A 25,868-nucleotide genomic window follows, 5' to 3' on the forward strand; every position below is an offset into this window, starting at 1 on the left:
AGGGAAGCAGGGATTCTGGTCCCGGCCACGCCCCTCACTGCACCTGGACAGCGGGCAGGACATTTAGTCTTCGTGGGTTTTCATTTCTCTCACAGGAAAATGGATTATCCCCATTTTTATTTTAGGGGCAGTCAGAGAAGCCCAATGTAAAAATACAAAGAAGGTGCAGGCTCTGTGCAGCCCAGCCTTCACCCTCCTTCTGGAGCAGCCCTTTCCAGACTTGCTCACTGAATAAATCCTGCTGGGGCACAGACTGTGCGCCTTCCATGGCATCAGGGGGTGCAGTGCCAAGCACCACTCCCTATTCCCCAGGAACTTACAGCTGAGAGGAGGGAAACAGGTGAGCCGATCAACACGCTCTCCCTAACAGTGACATAAACTAACAAGGGGCAGCGTGCAAAGCACAGTGGATCAACTCAAGGAAAAGGGAGCTAAAACTGTCTATCTACTTCTAGGAATGTCCCCAAAAGAACTGAAAGAGGGACTTGGAGAGATTCTTGTACAGCCATGTTCATAGAGGCATTATCCACTATAGCCAAGGGGCAGAAGCAACCCAGGTGTCCACCAACCGTAGAGGATGAACGGGTAAACTAAACGTGGCACATCCACACCATGGAACACTATTCGTCAATGAAAAAGAAGGACATTCTGACACATGCCCCCACATGGATGAACCTGGAGAACATTATGCTTAAGCGAAATAAGCCACTCACAAAAAGACAGATACTGTGTGATTCCACTTGTGTGAGGTACCTGGAGTGGTCCCATTTATAGAGACAGAAAGGAAACAGTGGCTGCCAGCAGCTCAGGGGAGGAAGGAACGGGGAGCTGGTGTTTCCTGGGCACAGAGTTCTGGTTTGGGATTATAAGAACATTCCGGAAATGATGACGGTTGCACAATAATAAATATATTTAATGCCGCCAAATTGTACACTTAAACATGGCTAAGATGTTAAATTTATGTGCATTTCACCACAATTAAAAATAATAATTTAAAAAATTGTTGGGTATGTGTCCAAAAAGTGGCCAGGGTTTGGCAAGCGTTGAGGGGGAGAGAAATGACGCTGCCCAGACCTCTATGATAAGGCCCGAAGCCTGCCTCCACCCCCCGGCGTGAGACCAAAGGGCCTTTGCACATGCTCTTCCTTTCACCCGATGCTTTTCCCCTCAATATTTCCATGACTCAAATTCACTCAGCTCTTTCTTCAAATGTCACTCCTCAAAAAGCCCTCACTGACACCACTAACTATAGTAAAGCATGTACATGCACGTGCGCACGCTCACACACACACACATTCTGCCCACCACGTGCCGTAGCAGATTTCTGCACAGCACTAACCACCATCTCCTATGCTGGTATATATATCTTTATTTATTTATTTTCTGTTTCCCCAACTAGAATATAAGCTTCAGGAGCACAGGGGCTCTGTTTTGTTCACTGTTCTCTCCCCTATGCTTGAAAGATTGTAGGTGCTCATATGAATTTGAAGGATGATGAGGAAACAAGGAAATGGGAGTGTCTGCCCAGCTTGCCAGGGCTCCCCTTGGAAATTTGAGCCCAGTGCCCCCACCTGGCCACAAGCCCACCTACTGAGCCTTACCTTTTTTGCATTTTTCTCTCTCAAGAACCTTGCAGGGAGGTGATGACAGGGTTTGGGAATTTGACTCAGAATCACAGCTATATATCTATGATCATCTTCTACCCTTTTAACTTGACCTTACGGTTTAGATATCAGAAGAATGACAGGGAATGAATTAAGAGGGGAGATTCCATTTTAGCGAACATACGTAACTCAGTTTTTAAAATAGAATCATACGATTTTTGAGGTGGACAAGATCACAGACTTCGGCTGAGTTTGAAGCATTGAGAGAATATCCAACCGCAAGTGGGTCACAGAGACCTGGCGATGCGGATGGGCCTGTGTTGTGCATTCAGTCTAACCCTGCACATAACCAGGGCACTAAGAAATGTGTTTGCTAAAGAGAAGCTGCTGGTGCCAGCAAGGACACAGGGAAGTGCTCCAGGAGGCCTGAGGCAAGCTCACCTGATTAGCCTCCACTTCAGGCTCATCCTGAACCCTTATGGGCGCGGCTGGCTCTCAGGGTCTGTGGTTCCTAGACACTAATGCTTATGAACCTGATGCTTAAAATTGCTCATGGACATTGGCATGCATTATGAACTCCAGGGCCGGGCGTGGTGGCTCATGCCTGTAATCCCAGCACTTTGGGAAGTCAATGCGGGTGGATCACTTGAGACCAGGAGTTCGAGACTAGCCTGGCCAACATGGTGAAACCCATTCTCTACTAAAAATACAAAAAATTAGCAGGGCGTGGTGGTGGGTACCTGTAATCCCAGCTACTTGGGAGACTGAGGCAGGAGAATTGCTTAAACCCGGGAGGTGGAGATTGCAGTGAGCTGAAATCTCACCACTGTACTCCAGCCTAGGCAACAGAGTGAGACCCTGTCTTAGAAAAAAAAAAGAAGGACTCCAATCTCCCCACCTCCTCGCTCCCAAATTAGGTTTACCTAAAACAAAGACAACTTTGAGTAAGAGTTCTATGAAAAACTGAAGATAGAATGGCAAGTTCCTTTGCTTCTTTTTTTTTTTTTTTTTTTTTTTAGATGGAGTCTTGCTCTGTTGCCCAGGCTGGAGTGCAGTGGCGCAATTTTGGTTCACTGCAACCTCCGCCTCCCAAGTTCAAGTGATTTTCCTGCCTCAGCTTCCTGAATAGCTGGGGCTACAGGCGCGTGCCACCACACTTGGCTAATTTTTTTGTATTTTTGGCAGTGATGGGGTTTTGCCATGTTGGCCAGACTGGTCTTGAACTCCTGACCTCAAGTGATCTGCCTGCCTCAGCCTCTCAAAGTGCTGAGACTACAGGCATGAGCCCCCTCGCCTGCCCTCCTTTGCTTTTTCAAGGCAATAAAGTCAACTCCCACTAAATGCATCGTCACTGCGACATTACTGCATCCTCATTCATTGTGCCTGCGAATTCTACTTCAGCAATCACAGATTCTCCAACCTAGAGGGAAAGCTAAACATCACTAGGCTCGTGCTTCCTAACCTGTGGGTTGCTATCATTTCACATGCTGTGAAAACAATGCAGCGGACCATAATAAGAATTTCATTTGAAAATTGAAATAGAGCAGAATGAAATAGAAAAGACCACAGGGCATTGCACATAGAAAACTCAGTCTTCCTTCATGAAATTTCTTGTTCAGTTATATATGATTATGATGTGTTTACTGCATTGCATTATGAAATATTTCTTACTATGAGACCTGGTCAAAAAAATTTTGAAGGCGGCTACTCTGATCCATTTTCTATATAGGTCTCAATACTGCCATATCGAGCTGATGTTTAATCATTCCATAATCCATGAGCTTATTCAGTACCTGTGGTGTGGAAGGCACTGAGCTGGATCCTGGGGCAATGAAGATGAACAGGACACTGTGTGCCACAGTCCAGGCAGGAACCAGGGTGGTGGAGGGCACACCCCGATTGGGTCGTAGGAGAAGAGTTTAATAAAGGACATATTGATTCAGTGTGGGCAGAGTATAGGGAACCCTAAGGAGATAGTGCAGACTCCAGGGCCACGAACAGCAGAACAAGGTGGGCAAGGCTGAGGGAAGGGAGCTGCTTCCAGAACCTGAAGCTATGTGGGGGACTTCCTGACAGAGAGGCTGTCGCCTTTAGTCAGGAGGCCACCAGCTCACAGGAACCCTGTAGGGAAGCTGCCAGAGAGACCAAGAGCTCAGCTCTCATCTCCTGCTGATGGTGAGCCGCATTGGCCAAATGCCCCCAGAAGCCAGAGGGCACAGGACACCAGGGTGCCATCCACATGGGAGAGCAGTGGGGAAAGGGTGGAGGGTGGATATGGAGGGCAGACAGACAAAATCACTGCCTGCTGGGAACTTGAATTGGATGGATGAGAAGGCACATCATCAGAAAAACCACAGTGGTGCCATAACTCATGCTGGAAGAGAGGTATTAATGACGACTTCCGGAAGCACCCAGGAGGAAGCGCTTGACTCCTGGGGAGGTTGGGGAAGGCTCGCAAGAAAGAAGTCCAGTGTTCTGTCTCCAAGCATCCTTTCCTTTGAAGAGCTGCCTTCCCTGCTTCCCTCCCTCCACGTGGTCCTAGTAGGATCTCAGAACAGTGCCGTCCTTCTCTGGTACAGGGTAGCAAATCAGAATATGCTCCTATTCCCTGGCCACAGCCCCTCAGAGTCTTCCCTGGGGATCTTCCACTAGTGACAAAAACTGTCTCTTGCCTCTGAATTCAGGAGACTGAGAGGCTGCAGAGTTGAAACTATTCTGCCATCTCCTCCCTATCCCAATAAGCATACATATTCAACTTAGGAAAAAATTGGGGTGGGGCAGAAATTTTACTGGGACATGTTTTTCACTGAGGGTTACCTTCTAGTTGGGCATATACTACTGTATTCATGTTGATCGTTTCTCTTTTTGTTTGAGTGTGAGTTTCTGTCCTTGCAGTCTTGAAGCTGAATTTCTGTCCTAGCGCACCCTGCAGGTGCAGAAGCATGGAGAGGAGAAGGCACTTGGCCTGGTGAGGAACCTGCTGGGCGTATGGCCTGGCCAGAACCCAGGGTGCCTGTGAATGGGGACCTAGGAGGAGGCTGTCACAGTGAGTGTGGGTCAGATCATGAAAGGCTTGGGTCAGATGGGGAACGCATGAGTATTCATTAAGGATTTTAACAGAGGGGACACACACAGAAGTGCATCTTAGAAAGCTCCCTCTGAGAGCTGTGTGGAAGATGGGTGGAGGTGAGCCATCCCAGAGGAAGCCACGGGAGACACAGCAGGCACCAGAACTCAGCTGGGAACCCTAGGGAATGGAGAGCGGTTCTTGGATCCCAGAGGGACTGAGTAAAGTACAAGAGTCTACAATTAGTAGCAAGTTTCCGGTTTGGGTGGGAAGGTGGATGGTGGCATGAATGGAATCTTGCTTCCGTTTTTTCCCACATCTCATAACTTTGAGGGTCTTCTCCTTCCTGAAAGCATGATCGCTTTCCCCCGAAAGCATTCTGAGTTTATCCATGTCCTATAGAAGACACAGGGCCCACAACAGAACAATACTCCAATGGAGGAAGGCACCATCACACACTTTTATGAACACAGCCCATGGGGCCTGAGGATTTTCCTGGAAGTCATCTCACTGTGATGGCTCACATGGAAAACAGTATTGTCTTAAAGCCCTAAGGTTTTTTTTCAGATCCTAAGGCTCTGGATCATTTTTTAATTGGCAAGTAAATATTTTTACAAGTGGTAATTTTTGTGTGCGTGGGTAATTTTTTTTTTGAGACGGAGTCTTGCTCTGTTGCCCAGGCTAGAGTGTAGTGGCATGATCATGGATCACTGCAACCTCCGCCTCCAGGGTTCAAGCAATTCTCCTGCTTCTGCCTTCAGAATAGCTGGGATTACAAGCACGTGTCACCAAGCCCAGCTAATTTCTTATATTTTTAGTAGAGATAGGGTTTCACCGTGTTGGCCAGGCTGGTCTCAAACTCCTGGCCTCAAGTGATCCACCCTCCTCAGCCTCCCAAAGTGCTGAGATTACAGGTGTGAGCCACTGCGGCCGGCCAATAATTCTTTTTAAACCACCTGAAATGCTGACCTATGTCATTAAACTTAGCATGTCTTCCCTACATCTGAAAACTACACATCTCCAATCCTTTGAATCCAATGTAATTCAGCAAGCAGTATGGTGTGAAGATTCTGGAATCGTTACTGTGGAAGATGTCTGAAAAGGACATGTTCTACTGTTTTGAAGCAGCTCTCTCCAGTGTGGCAGAGTAACAGTGAGGGGGAGAGAGAGACAGAGAGAGAGAGAGAGAGAGAGAGAGAGAGAGAGGGAGGGGGGAGGGAAGGGAAGGGGAGGGAAGGGGGGAGAGAGAGAGAGGGAGGGGGGAGGGGAGGGAGGGAGAGAGAGAGGAAATAAAAATCTTTGGAGCACTGTCTAGTTGTGAAATGCTGTGTGGAGTGGTTGCTATGACTTTTCAAGGTTCTGGCGATATTTTACCTTGAGGTTTACCATATATACCATCCTCCCAGCTCAACATGTCTGAAAAGCTTTTACCATGTGAACTTCTGATTTCCTGTTACCTGTCTACACTGTGGATAATTCATGACTAGTTACTGGCCCTTCACCTTTGTGATCTTTGCCTTAAAATGTGTCCCCTGACTCTATGGGTTTGTACTGTCCTCGGCTTTCTTTTCTGGGGCTGACCTTTTGTTTACTTCCAAAAACCTCACTAACTTTTACAGATGTACCTTACAGGCGGTGGTCATAGAAAGCAGGCTTCCTAATGCGTCCTTTGCAAGTTTTGTGTAAACTACCTTAAAACTCACTGTTTCCCCCTTCTCCTTTCCCTCCCTGCTTTCAGTAAACTCCCACTTCAGGTCTCATCATCTCAAATTGTTTCTCCACCAGCCTCCTTCGGTCCTCTTAGATCACCATTTTTGCAATCTGAGCAGACAGGCCCTGGGCCAAGCGGTGTGTCCACAACGTCACGTGGCTCTCTGTTTCTGAAGATGCGGGGGGATCCTGACACGGAGATCTCAGGATGGGGAAAACTGTGTACTCTCAGCAGATCCGCTCACTCTACTGACATTTCCCGAACACCTACTCGGTGTTAAGCACCCTGAGAGGGATGGGGTGGTGACTAGACAGAAGACAGGCCCACATTTACAGGCAGGCAAGGGGAGCGCGCGAGGAAGCCTCCGGCGACTGACCCAGGGCGGAGAAGAGTCACAGAGGAAGGGGTTGGTGAGCAGAGCTGGGAATGAAGAATGAGACAGCACACAGCTGGCCCCAGAAAGGGAGAAATTTGGTTTCTCCGTGCTGTGGAACTGAAGAGCTGGCAAGAGGAGAGGAGGGTGTGAGACAGAGGAAGGGGCTGGGATTTTATCTAAGAGCCACAGGAAGCTGTTGAAAAATTCAAAGCCAGAAGCAATGCCATCAGACTGATCATCTTTCCTTCTTTCTTTGATAGCTTGGAATCAGGAACTGAATTTGCAGCCCACTGCTTGCAACTCTTGGGGGCCACCATTCTGCTGTTTGAAGATTCATTCACCCTGCCTTCATGTTCTTATAACTTGACCACTCTGTCCTCATTTATTAACTCTCCTGGTACTGAATGCATCTCCACAAGCCCCGCCAAATGCGAATAAACCACGTTAGCACATTTACTCTCATAACAGCCCTTGAGTTAAACATTTTATATCTCATCTTACAGGGAAGGAAATTGAAGCCCAGAGAAATTCAGTGACTCACCCATGGCCTTAGAATTTTTTCATTCATTTCTGGAACTTGTTCACTATCTCGCTTCCTCAACTGACTGGAAACACAACAAGGGCAGCGACTGTGTTTGCAGTGGTCATGGTGAGAGGTGACAGCGTGCTGGCAGTCGTCACAGCCCTCGCTCGCTCTCGGCGCCGCCTCTGCCTGGGCTCCCACTTTGGCGGCACTTGAGGAGCCCTTCAGCCCACCGCTGCACTGTGGGAGCCCCTTTCTGGGCTGGCCAAGGCCGGAGCCGGCTCCCTCAGCTTGCGGGTAGGTATGGAGGGAGAGGCGCGGGCGGGAACCGGGGCTGCGCGCGGTGCTTGCGGGCCAGCGTGAGTTCCGGGTGGGCGTGGGCTCGGCGGACCCCGCACTCGGAGCAGCCGGCCGGCCCTGCCGCCCCGGGCAATGAGGGGCTTAGCACCCGGGCCAGAGGCTGCGGAGGGTGTACTGGGTCCCCCAGCAGTGCCAGCCCACCGACGCTGCGCTCGATTTCTCGCCGGGCCTCAGCTGCCTTGGCGCAGGGCAGGCCTCGGGACCTGCAGCCCGCCATGCCTGAGCCTCCCACCCCCTCCGTGGGCTCCTGTGCAGCCCGAGCCTCCCCGAGGAGCACTGCCCCCTGCTCCACGGCGCCCAGTCCCATCGACCACCCAAGGGCTGAGGAGTGAGGGCACACGGCGCGGGACTGGCAGGCAGCTCCACCTGCAGCCTCGGTGCGGGATCCACTGGGTGAAGCCAGCTGGGCTCCTGAGTCTGGTGGGGACGTGGAGAACCTTTGTGTCTAGCTCAGGGATTGTAAATACACCAATTGGCACTCCGTATCTAGCTCAAAGTTTGTAAACACACCAATCAGCACCCTGTGTCTAGCTCAGGGTTTGTGAATGCACCAATGGACACTCTGTATCTAGCTCCTGTGGTGGGGCCTTGGAGCACCTTTATGTCTAGCTCAGGGATTGTAAACGCACCAATCAGTGCCCTGACAAAACAGACCACTGGGCTCTACCAATCAGCAGGATGTGGGTAGGGTCAGATAACAGAATAAAGGCAGGCTGCCCTGAGCCCGCAGTGGCAACTGGCTCACGTCCCCTTCCATACTTTGGAGCTTTGTTCTTTCGCTCTTTGCAAATGAGCCACTGCTCACTCTTTGGGTCCACACTGCTTTTATGAGCTGTAACACTCGCTGCGAAGGTCTGCAGCTTCACTCTTGAAGCCAGCGAGCCCACCCGGAGAAATGAACAACTCCAGACAGGCTGCCTTAAGAGCTGTAACACTCACCGCGAAGGTCTGCAGCTTCACTTCTCAGCCAGCGAGACCACGAACCCACCAGAAGGAACAAACTCCAAACACATCCGAACAGCAGAAGGAACAAACTCCAGGCGCCCCACATTAATTTAAGAGCTGTAAAACTCACCGTGAGGGTCCGCGGCTTCATTCTTGAAGTTAGTGAGACCAAGAACCCACCAATTCCGGACACAGTGGGCGTGTGCGCGCTTCCAGCACAGCAGCTCTCACGTCTGGGAGGCTGGGCTGCTGACCGACTGACCCACCGACCCTCCCTTCTGGTAACACTGGGAACCAGCCAGGGTCAGGGTCAGAGTCGGAGTGGCCTCAGCCTAGCGGCTGCCCGATTCCTAGATTTGCGCGCCAGCCGCTCCACTGTCTCCTTCCGCCTGCCTTCCGTATCCGTGCTCTTAAAGAAGACCCGACATTTAACTTTCAAGTATATCGGGTAACTAAAACCAGCTTCACGTTTCGTTGCCCTTAATGCTAGATCCGGCCAGGCGTGGTAGCGCTCACGCCCGTAATCCCAGTACTTTGGGAAGTCGAGGCGGGCGGATCACCTGAGGTCAGGAGTGCGAGACCAGCCTGGCCAACATAGTGAAACCGTGTCTCTACTAAAAATTAGAAAAATTAGCTGGGCATGGTGGCAGGATTTGTAATACCAGCTATGCTGGAGGCTGAGCCAGGAGAATCACTTGAGTCTGGGAGGCGGAGGTTGCAGTGAGCCGAGATCGTGCCATTGCATTCCAGCCTGGGCAACAGGACGACTCCATTTGGAAGAAGAAAAAAAAGCTAGACCCAAAGCTGAAAGGAAACCAAGCAATGATTCTAATCCAACCGATTCATTTTACGGTGAATAAACTCAGGCTTAGAGAGTGCGGTTGACTCCCCAATGTCATGCAACTCCTTACCAGCGAGGCATGAATTCAGCAGTGTCCCTGGGTGCCTCCAAATGTCCTATACAGTGTTTACTGTGTCGCTTTGTTCGTTCAGAAACATCACGAGTAAATGTTTAATTCAGATTGCTTATAAAACTCAGTTATTTATATGCTTAGATATAGGTCTGGTGAGAATTTATTTTAAAGAGATTTTAAGCCACAACCTCTCTGCATCATTTTGCCTCAGATACTCAGAATCGGAGTGAGAAAACATTCTTGCCCACCGAGGCTCGTCGCTGTCCTGGGGCCTCTCCCCGCTCACTCACAATTCTGTCCCTGGGCTGTCGCATCCACCCAAGGTTTCAGCCACCACTTAACAACCTGCAGAATCCCAAACAATCATAACAATAGCTAACACGCACCGAGCATGGCTCATTCAATCCTCACCAACCTAATGCACTCCACGCTACAGAGGAGGAAGCTGGGGCACAGAGAGAGGAAAGGAATTGCCCACAGTTGTAGGCGGTGCACTGGGATGCGGCAGGGCCCCTTCCCCGGGATGGTGTTATGCGTAAAGCTCAGCGGCAGCCGCTCCTCCCCATCCCAGCTCCAAATCCCAATGACCAACTGCCTGCTGGTTTCCCCACAGGGCTGCCCCGTAACCAACTCAAAACTGAACTCAGCTTCTTGACCCGGAACACGCGGGTTGCCCACACAGCACCAGTCGTTGTTGGCCCTCCCTTTCTTTCCTAACGCATCACATTCCATCCACCCTTTCATTCCTAAATATTTCTCAGACCTGCTCCCTCCTGCCAGTGTCCATGGCTACAGCTGCCCAAGTGGCCTCTGTGCTGCAGTATCAGCCGTGGCCCCTGCCCAGGCCCTGGCCCCCAACCCACACTGCCTCACGAATGTCAACATAGGATTCCCAAGGAGTCTGGGCACAGGCCCGCCTGCCTGCCTCAGCTCTCTCGGTGGCCCCGGAGCCTGCCGCCTGCCATGTTGCCAGCCTCTTCTACGGTGAGCAGCCTCGGCTTTGGCTGCAAGACCCAGTTCCCTGAGAGGCTGTCCCAATTCACGTGGCTCTGCTTTCATACCGCTCTTCCTTCCTTCCCCTTGTATCCCCTCCCTCCCCTCATCTCCAGCAGAGCTAGTCACTTCCTCTTTAGCTCCAGCAGGCTACCCCTTAAACTCACACTCACCCAGGACTTTCTCTAGATGACAATTGTTTACTTGCTTTTCTCTGCTCCCAGGCAGTAGGAACTATGTTATGGCATCCAGAGCTATATAGTATATAGAGTAGTTCCATAGATATCTCATCACATTCAGATGCATGGGTGGAGTGAAAGAATGAGAGGCATTGTGATCCTTAATTTGATGGGTCAACTTGACTGGGCTAAAGGATGTCAAGATGGATGGTAAAGCATGATTTCCGGGAGTGTCTCTGAGGGTTTCTGGAAACAATCAGCATTTGAATTGGTGAGCTGCGTAAAGCAGGTGGCCCTCCCCAGTGTCAGTGGGTCTCATCCAATCCACTGAGGGCCGGAGTAGAACAAAGAGTAGAACAAAGACAGAGGAAGGAAGAGTTCGCTCTCTCTGCTTGAGATGATTTATCCATCTTCTCCTGACTTTGGATGTCAGAGCGCTGGGTTTTCAGGCCTTCAGACTCGTGCTGAATTACCCCACCAGCTTCTGTGGTCCTCCAGCTTGCAGACAGCAGATCGTGGGACTTCTCAGCCTCTATAATCACATGAGCCAACTCCCATAATAGATCCCCTCTTATATTCCCCTCTTACATATGCATATGTATATGTATTTGTATATGTATAGTATAGTATATGTATATGTGTAAGTATTTGTATATAGTATATGTATATGTATTTGTATATGTATTTGTATAGTATATGTATATATGTGTATATGTGTATACGTGCATATGTATATGTATATGTACAGTATATGTATATGTATCCCATTGGTTCTGTTTCTCTGGAGAACCCTGACTAGCACAGGCATAAAGCCCTACCGATCAGCTCTGCACACACTGGGCCGGCCCATTTCTGCAGGGCTCTCAGCCTGCATGGGCTACTCATTGCTGTGCCCGTGACAAGCATTCCTGACCAACTCCTCCCTCATCAAAGCCCCCTTCTGCCTCCAGCATCACCCGAATGGGGCCTCCACAGAGCCCAGGACATCAGTCCCTCCCCTCATCCTCACCCGAAGGGCGTCCCTCAGCCACAGTGGGAAGAATGATTGGAATCTGCCTGTTGATGGTGGGGCAGAGGGGCCCAACGGTCCAGGAGGGAGCTACACATGGTTTGCTCTGTCTGATGAAAACAATCACTGGAGATTTGTGTAGTGAAGGCACAAAGGTACGCTAAATATTATTTACAACTGAGATGTGATCAGCCTCTGAAAGGAAAGGTTTGTAAGGCCGAAGAAGAGCATCAGGAATTTCAAACATGTACAGTTAGCGAATTCCAGAAGGCTACAGTTTTAGCGAGATGAGCCTGTGTTCCCTGCAGGAGTCACCTGGGTCCTCCTGCTGCCACCTCTGCTTCCTCCACGTGAGAAGGAGGAAGTGAGAGCTCTGGAGTGTGGAGGGGCCCAATGAGCCCAGTAGTCCTTAAGCCCCAGGAGACACTCACCACTCTCATGTCCACGTCTCAGTGCAGATGGCAGCCCAGAAGCCTTGCTCGCTTATAACAACAGTAAATAGGAGAGCTGGGTAGGACCTGCTTCACCACTGAGCTTGCTGCCCTTATTTAGTGGGAGGAGGAACCTCAAGAGGGGAGCTACCAGGCCAACTCCCGTCCAGACCTTTCCAAGTTATTTCACTGAGGAGCAAGGATGGTGCCACTGCACTCCAACCCTGGTGACAGAGGGAGAGTCTGTCTCAAAAAACAAACCAGGTTGTCTTATTGAATTCACACTGTTAGGAGATAGATGACAGATTTGAATTGAGCTCTAATTTTGTGAAGAAATTATTTTTTGGAGCAAATGCACTGGTCCTTCTTTCAAACACAAACTTAGCATTCATTTTCTCAAAAATAAATACATCTAGCTGAGCTACATAATATATGCACCCTGCAAGAACTTTAGAAAACCTAGAAGAGCACATGGAGAAAATAGTACTCATCAGGAATCCCACCAGGCAAAGATGACCACTGTTAACATTTCATGTAAGTGCTTCTAGCATTTTTGATGTATATTTGTTTTAGCTTTCCAAATTGCCGTTGTACGGTAATACTCTTTTGAATCTTGGTAGCATTTGGTTTTGCACTTTTTGCAATATGTTGCAAATGGTTTCTTCTTTTTTTCTTCTTTTGCTTGGTTTGTTTGTGTTTTAATTATTCTATTTTGTATTATTGTTTAAAACACCAATAAACATTTTGTATACATATCTTTATGAAAAATAATTATTTTCTTAAGAAAAAATTTTAGCAGCAGGATTACTATACCGAAGTATGTGCACAGACTTAAGGTTTGGGGTACATGTTGCCAAACTGCCGTGAGGAAATGTGAAGCCAAATGCAGAAATGCTGTGTGTTTCCACACACTCTCAATCAACTCGAGGTTTTATTGTTCTTTTCTCCTCATCTCTAAGTTCATACACAGCCCAGAAGACAAATGAGGAGACAAACAAAATTCTTCAGCCGATTGCTGGTAACGCAAGGTATTTATACAAGGATTTCATTGAGTTCTTGTCCACTGAGGTGAAAGGAGAAAATTCAGAGTTGAGGCCTGCTTAAATGCCACCAAGCCAGGAACCTACTCAATCCATTAGAGCTTCTGAACCCAGTCATTTTTTTTCTGGAGGCAAATCCTGCATGGTCTTAGGCAAAGCAAATGACTTGTCTCTACCATTTCCTTCTGCAACCAAAGAACCAAAATTATTCTAAACTCCAGTAACTTGGTTTCCCCACCTGACCTTCCTGCAATGGTTTCAGTCACAGGCTCAGGAGGGCCTGGTCTCAGGTATGCCTCTTCCTCAGCGACCATGGCCTTTGCAAGAATACCTGGTAAGGAGGCTGAGGAAGTTCATAACCAGGGATGGAATTCAGTGGCTGCATGAATTTGGATGGGGAAAAAAAAGGCATATTTGTTTCACTAATCTTTGTCACTTAGACGATAAATGCAGCAGGCAACAGTCCATACTAGTGTTAGCAGTTTTGTGACTTTGTCAACAGAAGAAAATCATAGATGTTTTTAGATCTATTACAGTTGTTGCAGAGATTTTTAAATGTCATTAAGCTCATCACGGCTTTGAAATTACAGTAATTAATGAGACCTGATAGTAGATCTTATTATTTAATGTGTTAATGAACAAATATATCTATGCATTTCTTAAAATATTCAGATAACTGAATATTTATATTTTAATATAAATGTTTTCTTTGTGATCCCATATATTCATATTTTAACATTTAAAACTTTATTCTAAGGGGTTCTATAGGTTTCACCAGACACCAAAGCAGTTTGTGACACACAAAAAAATTAAGAACCTCAGAGAAGGAAGCTAAATGTTGGGCCCTGTGGGTAAACCAACTCTTCTGTTTTATAATCTCAAAGTTATAAAAGATTTCCCTAATAGTGGAAGAATAGAGAGATTTTTGCATATCCCTTTTCCATTCATTCATTCATTCATTCATTCATTCTACAAACACTTATTTAGCGTCAACAAAGTGGTAGGGCTGGGCAAAGTGGCTCATGTCGGTAATTTCAACACTTTTGGGAGGCTGAAGCAGGAGTATCACTTGAGCTCAGGAGTTCGAGACCAGCCTGGGCAACATAGAGAGACCCCTGTCTCTACAAAAAAAAAAAAATCAAAAAATTAGCCAGATGTGGTGGTGCATGCCTGTATGCCCAGCTACTCAGCATTGATTGAGCCCAGAAGGTCAAGGCTGCAGTGAGCCAAGATCGCACCACTGTACTCCAGCCTGGGTGACAGGGTAACACCCTGTCTCAAAAAAAAAAAAAAAAAAAAAATTTTAAGTGCCAAACAAAGAGAAAAAACAATACCCAGACGCCCTCCTGAGAGAATCACTGACTCTGGCAGGTTAGAGAATGAGGGCTGGGCCCACCAGCGGAGCCACAGCTGGAGGAAATGCAGATTTCAGCTGCTCATTGCTTTGAAATCCATGGATGTTCCCTCCCTAAGGAAGAAATTCCATCAGAATAATTAAAAGTGTCCCCAGTAGAGAGCTCTTGGCACTCTGCGACTCCCAATCCTCTCTGTCTGTCAAAGTCCTCCGCGGCCTTCAAGATCCTACCTTGGATGCCCCTTCCCAGCTGGAGTGAATCATTCCTCCCTCAGCAGGCTCCCTCCCAGATGTTAGCACTGTAGCTTCTCATTTGCGTTATTTATGAGCCTGACTTGCCTGGGATCCAGAGCCCTCAGTGTTATTGTGTGGTGGCATGGGCTGCCCCGGTCCTGGAGCCCAGTGGGCCTGTTCCGAGCTCTGCCTCCCCCACTTCGAGGCTGAGTGACTTGGGTAGCTGACTCCCCTCTCCACTGGCCGATGGGCATCTGCCAGGTCCACCAGGGGCAAAACTGTGGCACCCGCTGCACCCGGAGCTCTCTAAGAGTTGTCTCCTACATTCTCCACCCAATCCAAATGTGATGTCCAAGAAGCACTCACCTGCTCACCCGCTCAATGGAGGGCCACTTTCCTTCTCAAAGTGCTCAGACACAATCCTCCTAGCCCACCCGCTAGGCCTGGCGTCCCCACTCTCTCTGCTGAGATGGCCTCTTCCACTCAGTCCCCCACATCTTTCCACACTCAGTTCAGGTGGCTTGTTTTTGTTTTTGAGACAGGGTCTCACTTCGTCATCCAGGCTGGAGTGCAGTGGCACGATCTCAGCTCACAGCAACCTCCGTCTCCCAGGTTCAAGTGATCCTCCCACCTCAGCCTCCCCAGTAGCTGAGACTACAGGTATGCACCACCACACTCAGCTAATTTTTACAGTTTTAGTAGAGGCGGGGTTTCACCATGTTTGCCAGGCTGGTCTCAAACTCCTGACCTCAAGTGATTCACCCACCTCAGCCTCCCTAAGTGCTGGGAATACAGGCGTGAGCCACGGCGCCTGGCCCAAGTGGCTTCTTTCTGGAAACTTTTCCTGGTATTCATCTTCCAGCTCCTCAGGCAGAAACGACCGTTTCCTCCTTCACATCCCACTGTGCGCTGCACACTTGATGTCCCCTCCCTGGCTAGAAGTTCCTTCAAGGCAGATACCAGGTCCTATTTATATTCATGTTTGTGGCCCCAGTGGCTAAAAGGCTATACTTACTTGCTGAATGAAAAGTGAGTGGAGGAATGAATGGATGAGTGAATGAATGCCCCTGCTCTCTTCTTCTTCCCCTTCTCATGGACTCTTTTCTATTTCTCCTACAATCACTTGTGGTTCCAGTGCTGGCTTAGCCGTTAACTCTGTGGTATGGATAAGTGACTTTATGCCCCTGGGGTTCAGTGTCCCTGTAATGGAAGGGAGTAGGTAGAACTAGAGGTGGTTTAGAGACTGCTCTTTTGCTCCTATGTAATGTGATTCTGTTGTGTAATGGTGTGGGTGTCAGCATCTGCTGGGATGGAAGAGTCTCCCAAGGCCACACTCTCTGTCCCAGGTACCCACCAAGACCAAGGTCCTAACCCTCATATCTAGCTGGCCACTTAGCCTTACTAACAGCTTTCATGTTTTTAAGTCCCACCCCTGCCTGCCCTTAGACATTGGCTGGAATTCAGGCCCCCATTCTCTCTCTGCAAACTACCCTGGTCAGCAACTCCGTGATCTCTCATCTCATCCAAGTCCATCTTGCCTTCTGCACAGCCCAGATGGCCAGCCCTAGAGTCTGGTCTCCAGGTCACCTTATTTGGGGGCAAAGGCTTCTGCAGAGACTGCAAGGATTCTTCAAGGTCTGAATTTCCTGTTGGAGTGAAAATTCCTTGACTTCAACACTCCTTTCCCCAAATCTTGGGTGTGATTCTAGCTTGATTGCTTTCCTGAAACTCCTTTGCAGCCTTTGCCATCAAACTTTCTGGGCAGATCCCCACTTCCTTGTTCACAGAGGACAAATTTGGTTGGGAGGAGGAACATTAAGTTTTCCAACACCTGCAGACTGATTTATCTTTGCACTGACCTTCATTCTCTTGCCCTTTCTCTGAGAAGACCCTGATTCCCCTCGTGTGTGTGATTCCAATTTCCTCTTGCCTCCTCGGGGACAGTCAGCCTTAGCTCTGTGATTGATAGGCTTGTGCCAATGTCTCCTATCTTCCTGTGTTTCTCCTTGATCCTCCATCTAGTTGTTTCTCAATTTCTTTGTCTTGTAGCCGAGTTCCTTCAAATGCCGACTTCCACTGACTCCCCCTCACCTCCTACCCATTGCTCAGGCCTCTAAAACTAGGTTCTGCTCCAGCCCATGGAAGCTCCTCACATCCTGCTACTCGCTGACCTGCGTGGACACTTTCCTGTTTCGAGTCTGCCTGGCATCTCTCCAGCGCGTGATGACGTGCACCTCTGCTTCCACCTGGACCTCCCAGGCTTTCAGGGCCCTCCTCCCTCGCCTCTGGCTACTCTTCCCAGTCCCTTCTGCTGGCTCAGCCTTCAGCGAGCCCTGCCTGGGCTTCCAGCCTGGGCCCTCTGCTCCTGGGCTACACTTGTCCTGAGCAGCTCCACCACCCTTTGTGTGGAAATGGCTCTCCGTCACCCTCTGCAGCTGTGTCAGTCAAGGCTGGCGGACCACAGTAACCAGCCCTGAGTTTCTGTGGCTCAGCACATTTCAACTTTGTTTTTCACTCACTTCGGTGTTCATTATGAGTTGGAGGGAGTAAAGGGAGGAGGTGGCCCCCTTCAGAGTCACTAAGAGAGCTGGCTCCTTCAGTCCTGTGGCATTGTCCTCCCCCACATCCTCCAAGTCCTCCCAGGCAGCTGGTGGATGCAGAGAGAGAATGTGGGAAGTTTCCCCAGGGCCACACCTGCAAGTAGCACAGATCTGTTCTGCTCACATCCCGTGGGCAGACGTGGCTGTACACAGCTGCCAGGGAGGTTGGAGATTAAGAGAAAGGCACAGAAGGGATGTTGGTCAGTGTCAGAGCCTCTGTCAACCTAGCCCAGATCTCTCCCCTAGCCCCAGAGCCTTAGGAGAGATCTCCACTTAGTTATCTTACAGGCTCCTCACTCTACATAGTCAGACTTATTGCCCCTCTATCTTCCTGTCCTGGCAGTGGTACTATCACCCACCCAATTACCTGAGCCGGAAGCCGGAGAAGGGCCCCACGCTCCTCCCCTGGCCCCACCCTGACAAGCCTCTCTGACCTGGTGAGTCTCTGGTTCACCCCTTCCTTGCCCTTACCCCACTGCTGGATTCAGGCCCTCGGTTAGCTAGCCTCTGATCTATTTCAATAGCTCAATGGCAGATTGCTCTGCAGACTCTCATCCTCTTTCATTCTTCCTAAAACAGAGTCTACTGTGGTCCTCCCCTGCAACTTGGTAGCATGATTGCAGGCCGTGCCAGCCCTGAGCCCTCCCTCTCCCCACTCCTACCTCGCTGGCCCTCTCTTTCCAGCTTATGGGCCCCAGTCACAGGAAACCAGCTGTATTTTCTACTCCTTTCTGCATGTTCACCAGAAGATAGATGTCTCCGACATTCCTCTCCTCTTCCTGTTGGCTGTCCGCATTTTATTGTAGAAGGAGCCGCTCAATCATCACTTGCTCAGGGATCCTTCTAGACTTTCCCTGATAGAGTTGACCACTACCTCCAGGTAGATTCCTGTCAGTCATTCACAGAATGGTCTCAACCACGAAGACCAGTTAAATATGTCAGAGAACGTGTCCTTCATCTATGGTATCAGGTGAATGACAATGAATTCAACTGGAAACTCCGGTAGGGCAGCTCTAGTTCTTTCTTCATCTCATAACTAGATAATTATAATTTCCATAAAACTGTGGGAATTCAAAGTAGTATGCAACAATAATTATTTCTTCTAAAATCCAAAGCATGCAACCATAATTATTTCTGTGTAAAAAAAAAACGGAATCCCAATTTGTTGACAAGTAAACAGAGAAAGGACCTGTATTCATTAGGGATCCTCTAGTTTGCAAGCCACAGCAAACCTAACTTAAACCAGTTCAGAGAAAATAGCGATGTGCCCGCAGACGCACAGCTCAGCTCAGCTTTCCTTCAGCTGCCTCTGTCTTCTGGATCAAGTAATGGCCCCTGCAGGGTCCTCAAGCTTTCTGCTCACAACTGCATCCCTTCCTTCCTTCCTTTTCCCTCCCTCACTTCTTTCCTTCCTTCCTTCTTTTTTCTGATGGGGTCTCACTCTGTCACCCAGGCTGGAGTGTAGTGGCATGATGATAGCTCACTGCAGCCTCAACCTCCTGGGCTCAAGCGATCCTCCTGCCTCAGCCTCCCAAGTAGCTGGACTACAGGCATGTGCCAACACACTCAGCTAGTTTTTGTATTTTTTGTAGAGATGGTGTTTCATCATGTTGCCCAGGCTGGTCTCTATCTCCTGGGCTCAAATGATCTGCTGCCTTGGCCTCCCAGAGTACTGGGATTACAGGCGTGAGACACCACGCTTGACACTTTCAAGTGTTTCATTTTCAAATTGCCAATCCCGAGAGAGAGAGAGAGGAGAGACAGAGAGAGAGAGAAAGAGAGAGAGAGAGAGAGAAATTGGGACAAGAGACTGGGACAAGATTCGGAGTAACACACGTAAAGTTCACTCTGACTGGACCAGTTCACTCTGACAGGGCTGTGGCCAGGTGAGTGACATATGCCAATCAGGGCCATTTCTGTAGCCATATGGGGTTTCCCAAAGGAAGGAAGGAGAATGCATGCTGGGCAGCCAACAGCAGATGGTATTATAATACTCTTCCCAAAACAAGTTAGTAATGAGACCAAAACTTCCTCTCTGAAGCTATGTCTTTTCTTCCTTCAGTTACCCACTTCACAGACAAATAAATCTTCTCCCTCTTTGTTCCCAGGACACTTCAGTGTATAGTGATATTGAGGGAGTGTCATGTAGGCTTATAATAATTCTTAATATATCTTTCTTGGCCACTAGACTGGGGTATCTCAAAAGCAGAAGTAAAGTGTTTTCATTTTGTACCCATGGCACCTAGGGGACTCCCTAAGCTTGGCACGTTGTGGGTGCTTAATAACTATGGAGGGTTTTATGGATGAATAAATAGTAGCATTGTCTATGGAAACATTTAGTCCTCCAGCACTGGCTTTTCGGGGTCAAGTGGCCGTGATATCAGCGTGGGAAATGTCGTTGTCTTATCTATGCTGTGGATCTGTCTGCAGCTGTGCTGGGCAGGGAGAGGGCGGCACCATTTGCCTTTGTGTGTGTGTATTCCCTGGGGATCTTCTGACTTGATCTGCACCTACTCTGCCCTTTGTAGTTTCTGGAAAGACATAGAATTCCACCAGATCCCACTAACCAAGCAACTTGATACACTAGAAGGATTTGGCGGAATCCTGTCTGTTGCTTTTTTCTGAAGGAGATGGGATTCGCATCCCTCTTTGGGGCACACACTAAGGGGATGGGCTGAATGCTAGCTCTGGGGAAGCCACAGATGCCAGACAGGCACCACATGTCAGGAAGGAGCTGCCTGTCTTTGGGAAGCAGCTAAAATAGCGCTAAGAGCATGGACCTTGATGCTGGGCAAACCTGGTTTGCATCACACTTATCAGCTCTTTCAACTTGACTTGGCAAGTTACTTATTCTCCTTTCTGTAGTATGGGTTAATAATGTCTTCTTCACAGGGCTGGTATGAAGAATAAATGAGACACTGTCTTCAAAGTTCATAACACACAGTAAATGCTCGATAACATGTGACGGTAGTAAATGGATTCCATTTTCCTTTCTCCAGAAGGGGATCGCAGGTCTTCATGCATCTGTGAAGGATAATGCAGAACGGCTCATTTCCAACTGCTTGCATCTATGAAGCAAAATAAAATCCAACAGATACTAGAACAAGATCTAGTTGTTGTCTTCTTTAAGAAATCATTTGAATTTTAAGAGCAGGATTAAAATGAATTAAGCTACAACATTTTAAAAACCAGATATTGTAGTCTGGCTTTGAAACACAACCTCAAATGCCTACCTGAGCCAGGTATGTAGCCAGATGAGTGGGGCACGTCAGCCACTGACAGCATGGGGCCATCACAGGTGTGGTGGGGCCATGGCAGCCGGAGGACCAAATCGATTCTAAAGTGAGCAGCTTCTGTGACTCAGCACAGCTGATGACTGTCACATGGGAATACAGACTCAAAGCTGCTAGAACTTGGAACAATATCCCAGTTTCAGAAGAGATATCACTAATTCACATTATTTTCTTAAACACTGCATAAAATCATGTCTGAGCAGCAGCTCTGGTTAGTGGGCTTTATGTGGTCTGAGGACCCTGGATTGTGAACTCCAATCTCAGCTGACTCCTTGCCAGTGGTGTTTCTCAAAGTGAGTTACACTTTACAGGTTCAGCAGGCCAATTCTCACTGCATAGAAGAATGTTTCTAAACTCTTATATTCCTACCACATGGGAAGGTAATTGCTTTTTATAATTATGCCAAACATTATTCTTCCCATGTGTTATTTTACAGTTCGAAGTCAACCTCAACATTTACCTTTTTGACATATATTCTACTCATCTAACTATTTACTGCCCCTTGGCTCTGACATGCTCAACTTGCATTATGTTAATCGGCAGTTATATTTCTTTGTAATATTGTTTCAGGTTTTATGCATGTATGTATACCAATGAAGGTAGTGAACTCAAAAATTATGTCTAAAACCTAATAGGAATTTGTTCCTTTCTTTCTTATAACAGTCCTAAGCAGTTTCAGGTTGGGGACGTGGCCAAGAACTCTGGTCCTACTCGGTCACTCAGGGGCCCAGCCCAAGATGAGGCTCTGCCATCTTCCAACACGTGGTTTTCAAAGTGGTTGTAGTTGTCTCCAATCAGTTGGCTGGAGGGTAAAGAGCATGGAGGATTGCCCATGGGAAGTTTTTATGAATCAGGCCTGGAAATGACAAAATGACATTTATGCCCACATTTATTTCACTAGAATTAATCACGTGGGTTCACCTAGCTGCAAGAGAACCTGGGAAATGCAGTCTGTGTAACCAGGAAGAGAGGAGGCTTTTTGGAAAACACCTACCAATTTTTGCCAATGGATTCTAACGTATGTTTCATCTTCTTGCCCTCACAGAACACACTCACCCTCTCCAGGGGCAATAACCCAAAGTCCCATTGAGCTACTATATCCAGCTCAAAACTCCAAATCTGTAGATGAGGCACAGGTCTGAATGTGGTGGCTCCTTAAGGTCTGGTGATCTGTAATCTAAGACAAATTATCTTCCCTTCCACTGACAATGCACAATGGTGGAGTGCAGCATAATAATTGCAATAAACCTCCCATTGGAAGCATAGGAAACACACAGTAGGCTCCAGCCCTCAGCTATTAGGAAATCCTGTTGGGCAGGCATTGAGAAGATCCCTTTGCCCTGGCAATAGGGGAAGCTCTCCCATTAGACCATGATTCTATTCTCTGGGAAGAAACCCTTGGTGCATTGTTCTCTAAAACTGCAGGCCTCTTACCTCTGGGAGGCTTTTCTTGTCCAGTATCCCCCAGGGCCATGTATGAAATGGATGTTGGAGATAATGCTCTTCCTGGGAGCTAGACAGCTTTAGGCTCCCACTTCACCCACTTCCATCTCCTGCCAGTGTTGGGGGGGCCTGAGGGTTGTTTGAAGGTTTCAACAAAGTTTTCTTGCTGTTATTAAGTCTGGGTTGGCTGGTGATTTACTTGGTAGTAAATGTTCTTCAAAAACTTAGTAAGCTTCTCCCTTCTCTGTTTCCAGTCATTTTAATGTTATCAGTAGCAAGACCTAAAACATTCTTCTGCACATGCCTGTACTTCTGCTCCCCTACCTCTATCCACTGGACAGTGACCATGCAGAAGTCATCTGAAACAAAAGGCATATATGGGGAATTAATACCCTTTGTCTACTCTTTGCTGAAGGGATAAAGCACCTTAACTGAAAAGGCTTAATGGGCCCTACTGATTTCCAGCTCCTTGGGGTGTAGAAGCAATAGGCTTTTCCAGTATCAAATAGCCCCAAATTTCTGCATTTCTTTTTCCCTTTCCTTTGTACTTACAAACTAATTCTTTTGTGAGCTCACCTTTTCCCTGAAAAACATCAGAGGAGTAACACAGTGAAGAGTGAAAGGTCCTAACATTCTTGTACCAGCTACGTGCACACCAGGCACATGGCCAGCCTTCTAAGTTATTGCTGGCCACAGTTTTAGAAAACATTTTGTCACTTCACAATATGGGTCTTGATCTCTCTAGCCTCCACTAGTTTCATCACCACCCACCACCAGCCAACCATAGTCAATGCCCCATATTTAAGGTTTTTTTGACATCACTCCACTTCAGGTACTGATAACCATATTAGCAAAGGTTAGCCACTGAAGCTAATTTTAAAATGCCTAATGGCGGCAACACTCTTGCTCATCCAAATATGCTGCCTGGTTCGTGGGGGAGGGCACTATACTTCGGTCATTCAGGGATCCAGCTGACAAAGGCTCTGTCACTCCCAAGGTTGCCGGGTCTTCTCCATCCCATCAGTGGAAGGAGAAGGAGCCTGGCAGATCACTGAGAATGGTTTTCTCATGGGCCAAGCCTGGGGGGCTTCAGTTACTTCATCACTCATCCACTGACTAAACCTGAGTCCCACGGTCACTCCTAACTCCAAGGGGGCGGGGAGATGTAATTCAGGCGTGTGCCCAAGTGGAATAGAAAATGGAATCTTAGGCAACCAGCTTGTCGCAGTTTGCCTGGGACTTTCATGGATGTGACATTGAAAGTTCCACTACTCAGAACACCCTCAGTCCTGGGAAAACCAGTTTAAGTAGAGACACTAAGTCTCACTGTTTAAGTAGAGACACTACCTCTTCTGTTTTCTTGGTCTCTGAATCTACAGTGACTACAAACCACTTATCAGGGCATGAATTGGATGCACTTATGAGACAACAGGGCAGATTATTGTAACTGAAATATATGTGTCCCTGAAAATTTGGGTCATGTGTTATATAACCTTGGTGATACACATCTACAAACATGGTCTTTGTTCCTAAATGAATCAGCTATAAAATGTAGTGGTAGGGGATATACCGCATTGAAAAACACTACTCATTTAACAAGAGTTCCTAGAAGAATTCCCAGAAATATTTCTGCCAAAGGGTTCGTCTGAGAAGGAACAACAAATGAATAATTCAGATATTATATTGCATAAGGCAAATTTTGCCAGAAAACAAACTACCTCATTTATCTTAAAGACAGCTTATGTGAACTGTCCTTGGGGACAGGGACTGTGGCTCATTCACTACACTATCTCTGGCTTCTAGCAGGTACTCAGTAAATGTTCTCTGAGTAAGTTAACACATGGTTTTCAACACAAAGTACCAGTTTACTGTGCACCATAGTCACACAAATAGCCTGTGCCCCCTTTCTCTCATCAAAAAGAAGAGATTTTCCTGATTTATTTTGAGCTGAAGGGTGGTGAGCTGCCATTTAGGGCAGATTCTAGTTCTTGAGACAGTCAGACGACAGAAGGCGGAGGGGACACATGTGGCCTGTGGGCCAAACCAGCTTAGTAGGTGTGCTCTCTTATTTGGTCTGTGCAGTGTCCAAAAGTCAGGCATTTCCAGACAGAATCCTGGATTTATGGAACTTGGAAGAAATTGGAAGATCAAGCAACACAGTGCTTGAATTCCCATATGGCAACTGGATGGAGCTACATAGCACTGTCCCTGTTAGCTGAGCACACTCCCCAACTGCCACAGTCACTACCATGTCCTACTGCTTACCCTACTCACTCAAGAAGCTTCTCCACCATATCCGACAGACACTGGGGTCCTGAACACCTGGTCTAAAGCACAGACCTCTGTTGTAATACTGCACATTTTTAAATGGCTACTGAACCTTCCAAGTAGCTGTTGCCAGAACCTGATCTCCAAGCCTAGCGACTTCAGGCCTGCCTGGCATTCCATAGCACTGGTTTACATAGAACCTTTTTCTGTAATGAAATTAATAATTTAAGATATATATATACTCCACCTGTAATCATTTCCTTCCACCAATATTATTTCTGTAGTACCGAAAATATTGGACACTGAAACATGGACAATTCCCAACGAATCCCTTCTCTAATTCACAGAAATGAAATGCAGCCTTTTGCTATTATTTCTTTGATACAGAAAAAAACGGTGTGTTTCTATCTGTATTCTAAAGGACATTATTCCCATGTGTGTTTTCACAGTAAAGTTTAAACAGTCACTACTATTACCAAATACTAAATCAAAAGCTATTAGAAAATAAAGCTGCCACACCTTTATCCCTATGAAAAATACAAAATTAAATATATAAACAAACATAAACAAGCAGATGAATGACTCAGAAATAATAGTAATGGTTAACACTCCTTGAACCCACCTCACTCTGAACTGTCTCTGTGCTGACAGCTTCCCAGCATCAGCCTCCCAAAACCCCTATGGAGATAGCATGTCCCCATTTTAAGCATGAGGAAACAGAGAACAACAAGGAACTTGCCTGAGGTCACTTAGCTAGTAACTAGCAGAGGAGCTAGGATTAAAACCAAATTAATTTTAGCCATTAAGTTAAATGAATAAACAAAAACAGTGCACGCACACACACACACACACACCCTCCCACCAAAAGTTCGAAGAATAAAATAAAGTCATTATCAGATGCAGAGGACTGTAGCATCTGTGGCAAGACAGGATCTTTGTGACCTGATCCAATCCTTATTTCACAGGTGAGAACTCAGGTCTGAAGGATTCCATTCCTGGTCCAAAGGTCAAACAGCTGATGACTGCAGGGCCAGGCCTAGCAGCCAGAAGCCTGCCTCTCAGCTCAGGGTCCTCCCACACACCAGTGCAGGAACCTATGGCACTGTCTGCTTCCAAGTTCTATCGGTGGGCACAGATCTCCACTTGCAGGCAATGTTACCTAAGAGGGAGAGGAAACTTGATTTTCTCTGCCTCCATTTCTAAAAATCGTAATGCCACAATTGCTGCCTGAATGGATTTGAAGTTGACATCTAAAAGCAGTCATGTTGTCAGCCCCTGGTAGTTTCAACTACTTATTTTACACAAAGCAAGAGCAGAGTAGTGTCTATATAGATTAATTTTCATTCCTAATTTTAGTTATAATTAACTTTTATACATTTCTTGTATAAATTTAAAGCTGTTCTGGCATTGCATATTTATTCCATAATGAAAAATAAAAGTTCTCTTTTAAAGTATGCAAAAAATGCACACAATTACTGAAATATGAACACTGTTCATTTGAAATACAAAGTAGACGTTCATTCA

At 47.4% G+C, this 25,868-nt stretch overlaps 2 annotated features.

Annotated features, from left to right (window-relative positions):
* Positions 11,603-12,131: an enhancer, noted in NCBI's record as "H3K4me1 hESC enhancer chr13:44991723-44992251 (GRCh37/hg19 assembly coordinates)". NCBI's record gives its function as "activates a minimal SCP1, AML or CMV promoter by ChIP-STARR-seq in naive H9 embryonic stem cells {active_cell/tissue: H9 hESC(naive)}" and the evidence as "EXISTENCE:reporter gene assay evidence [ECO:0000049][PMID:30033119]".
* Positions 19,612-19,804: a silencer, noted in NCBI's record as "fragment chr13:44999732-44999924 (GRCh37/hg19 assembly coordinates)". NCBI's record gives its function as "represses an EF-1alpha promoter that drives an FKBP-Casp9 reporter gene in an ReSE screen in K562 erythroleukemia cells {active_cell/tissue: K562}" and the evidence as "EXISTENCE:reporter gene assay evidence [ECO:0000049][PMID:32094911]".

The sequence above is a fragment of the Homo sapiens genome, chromosome 13 (genome assembly GCF_000001405.40).
Source record: "Homo sapiens chromosome 13, GRCh38.p14 Primary Assembly".
NCBI lineage: Eukaryota > Metazoa > Chordata > Mammalia > Primates > Hominidae > Homo > Homo sapiens.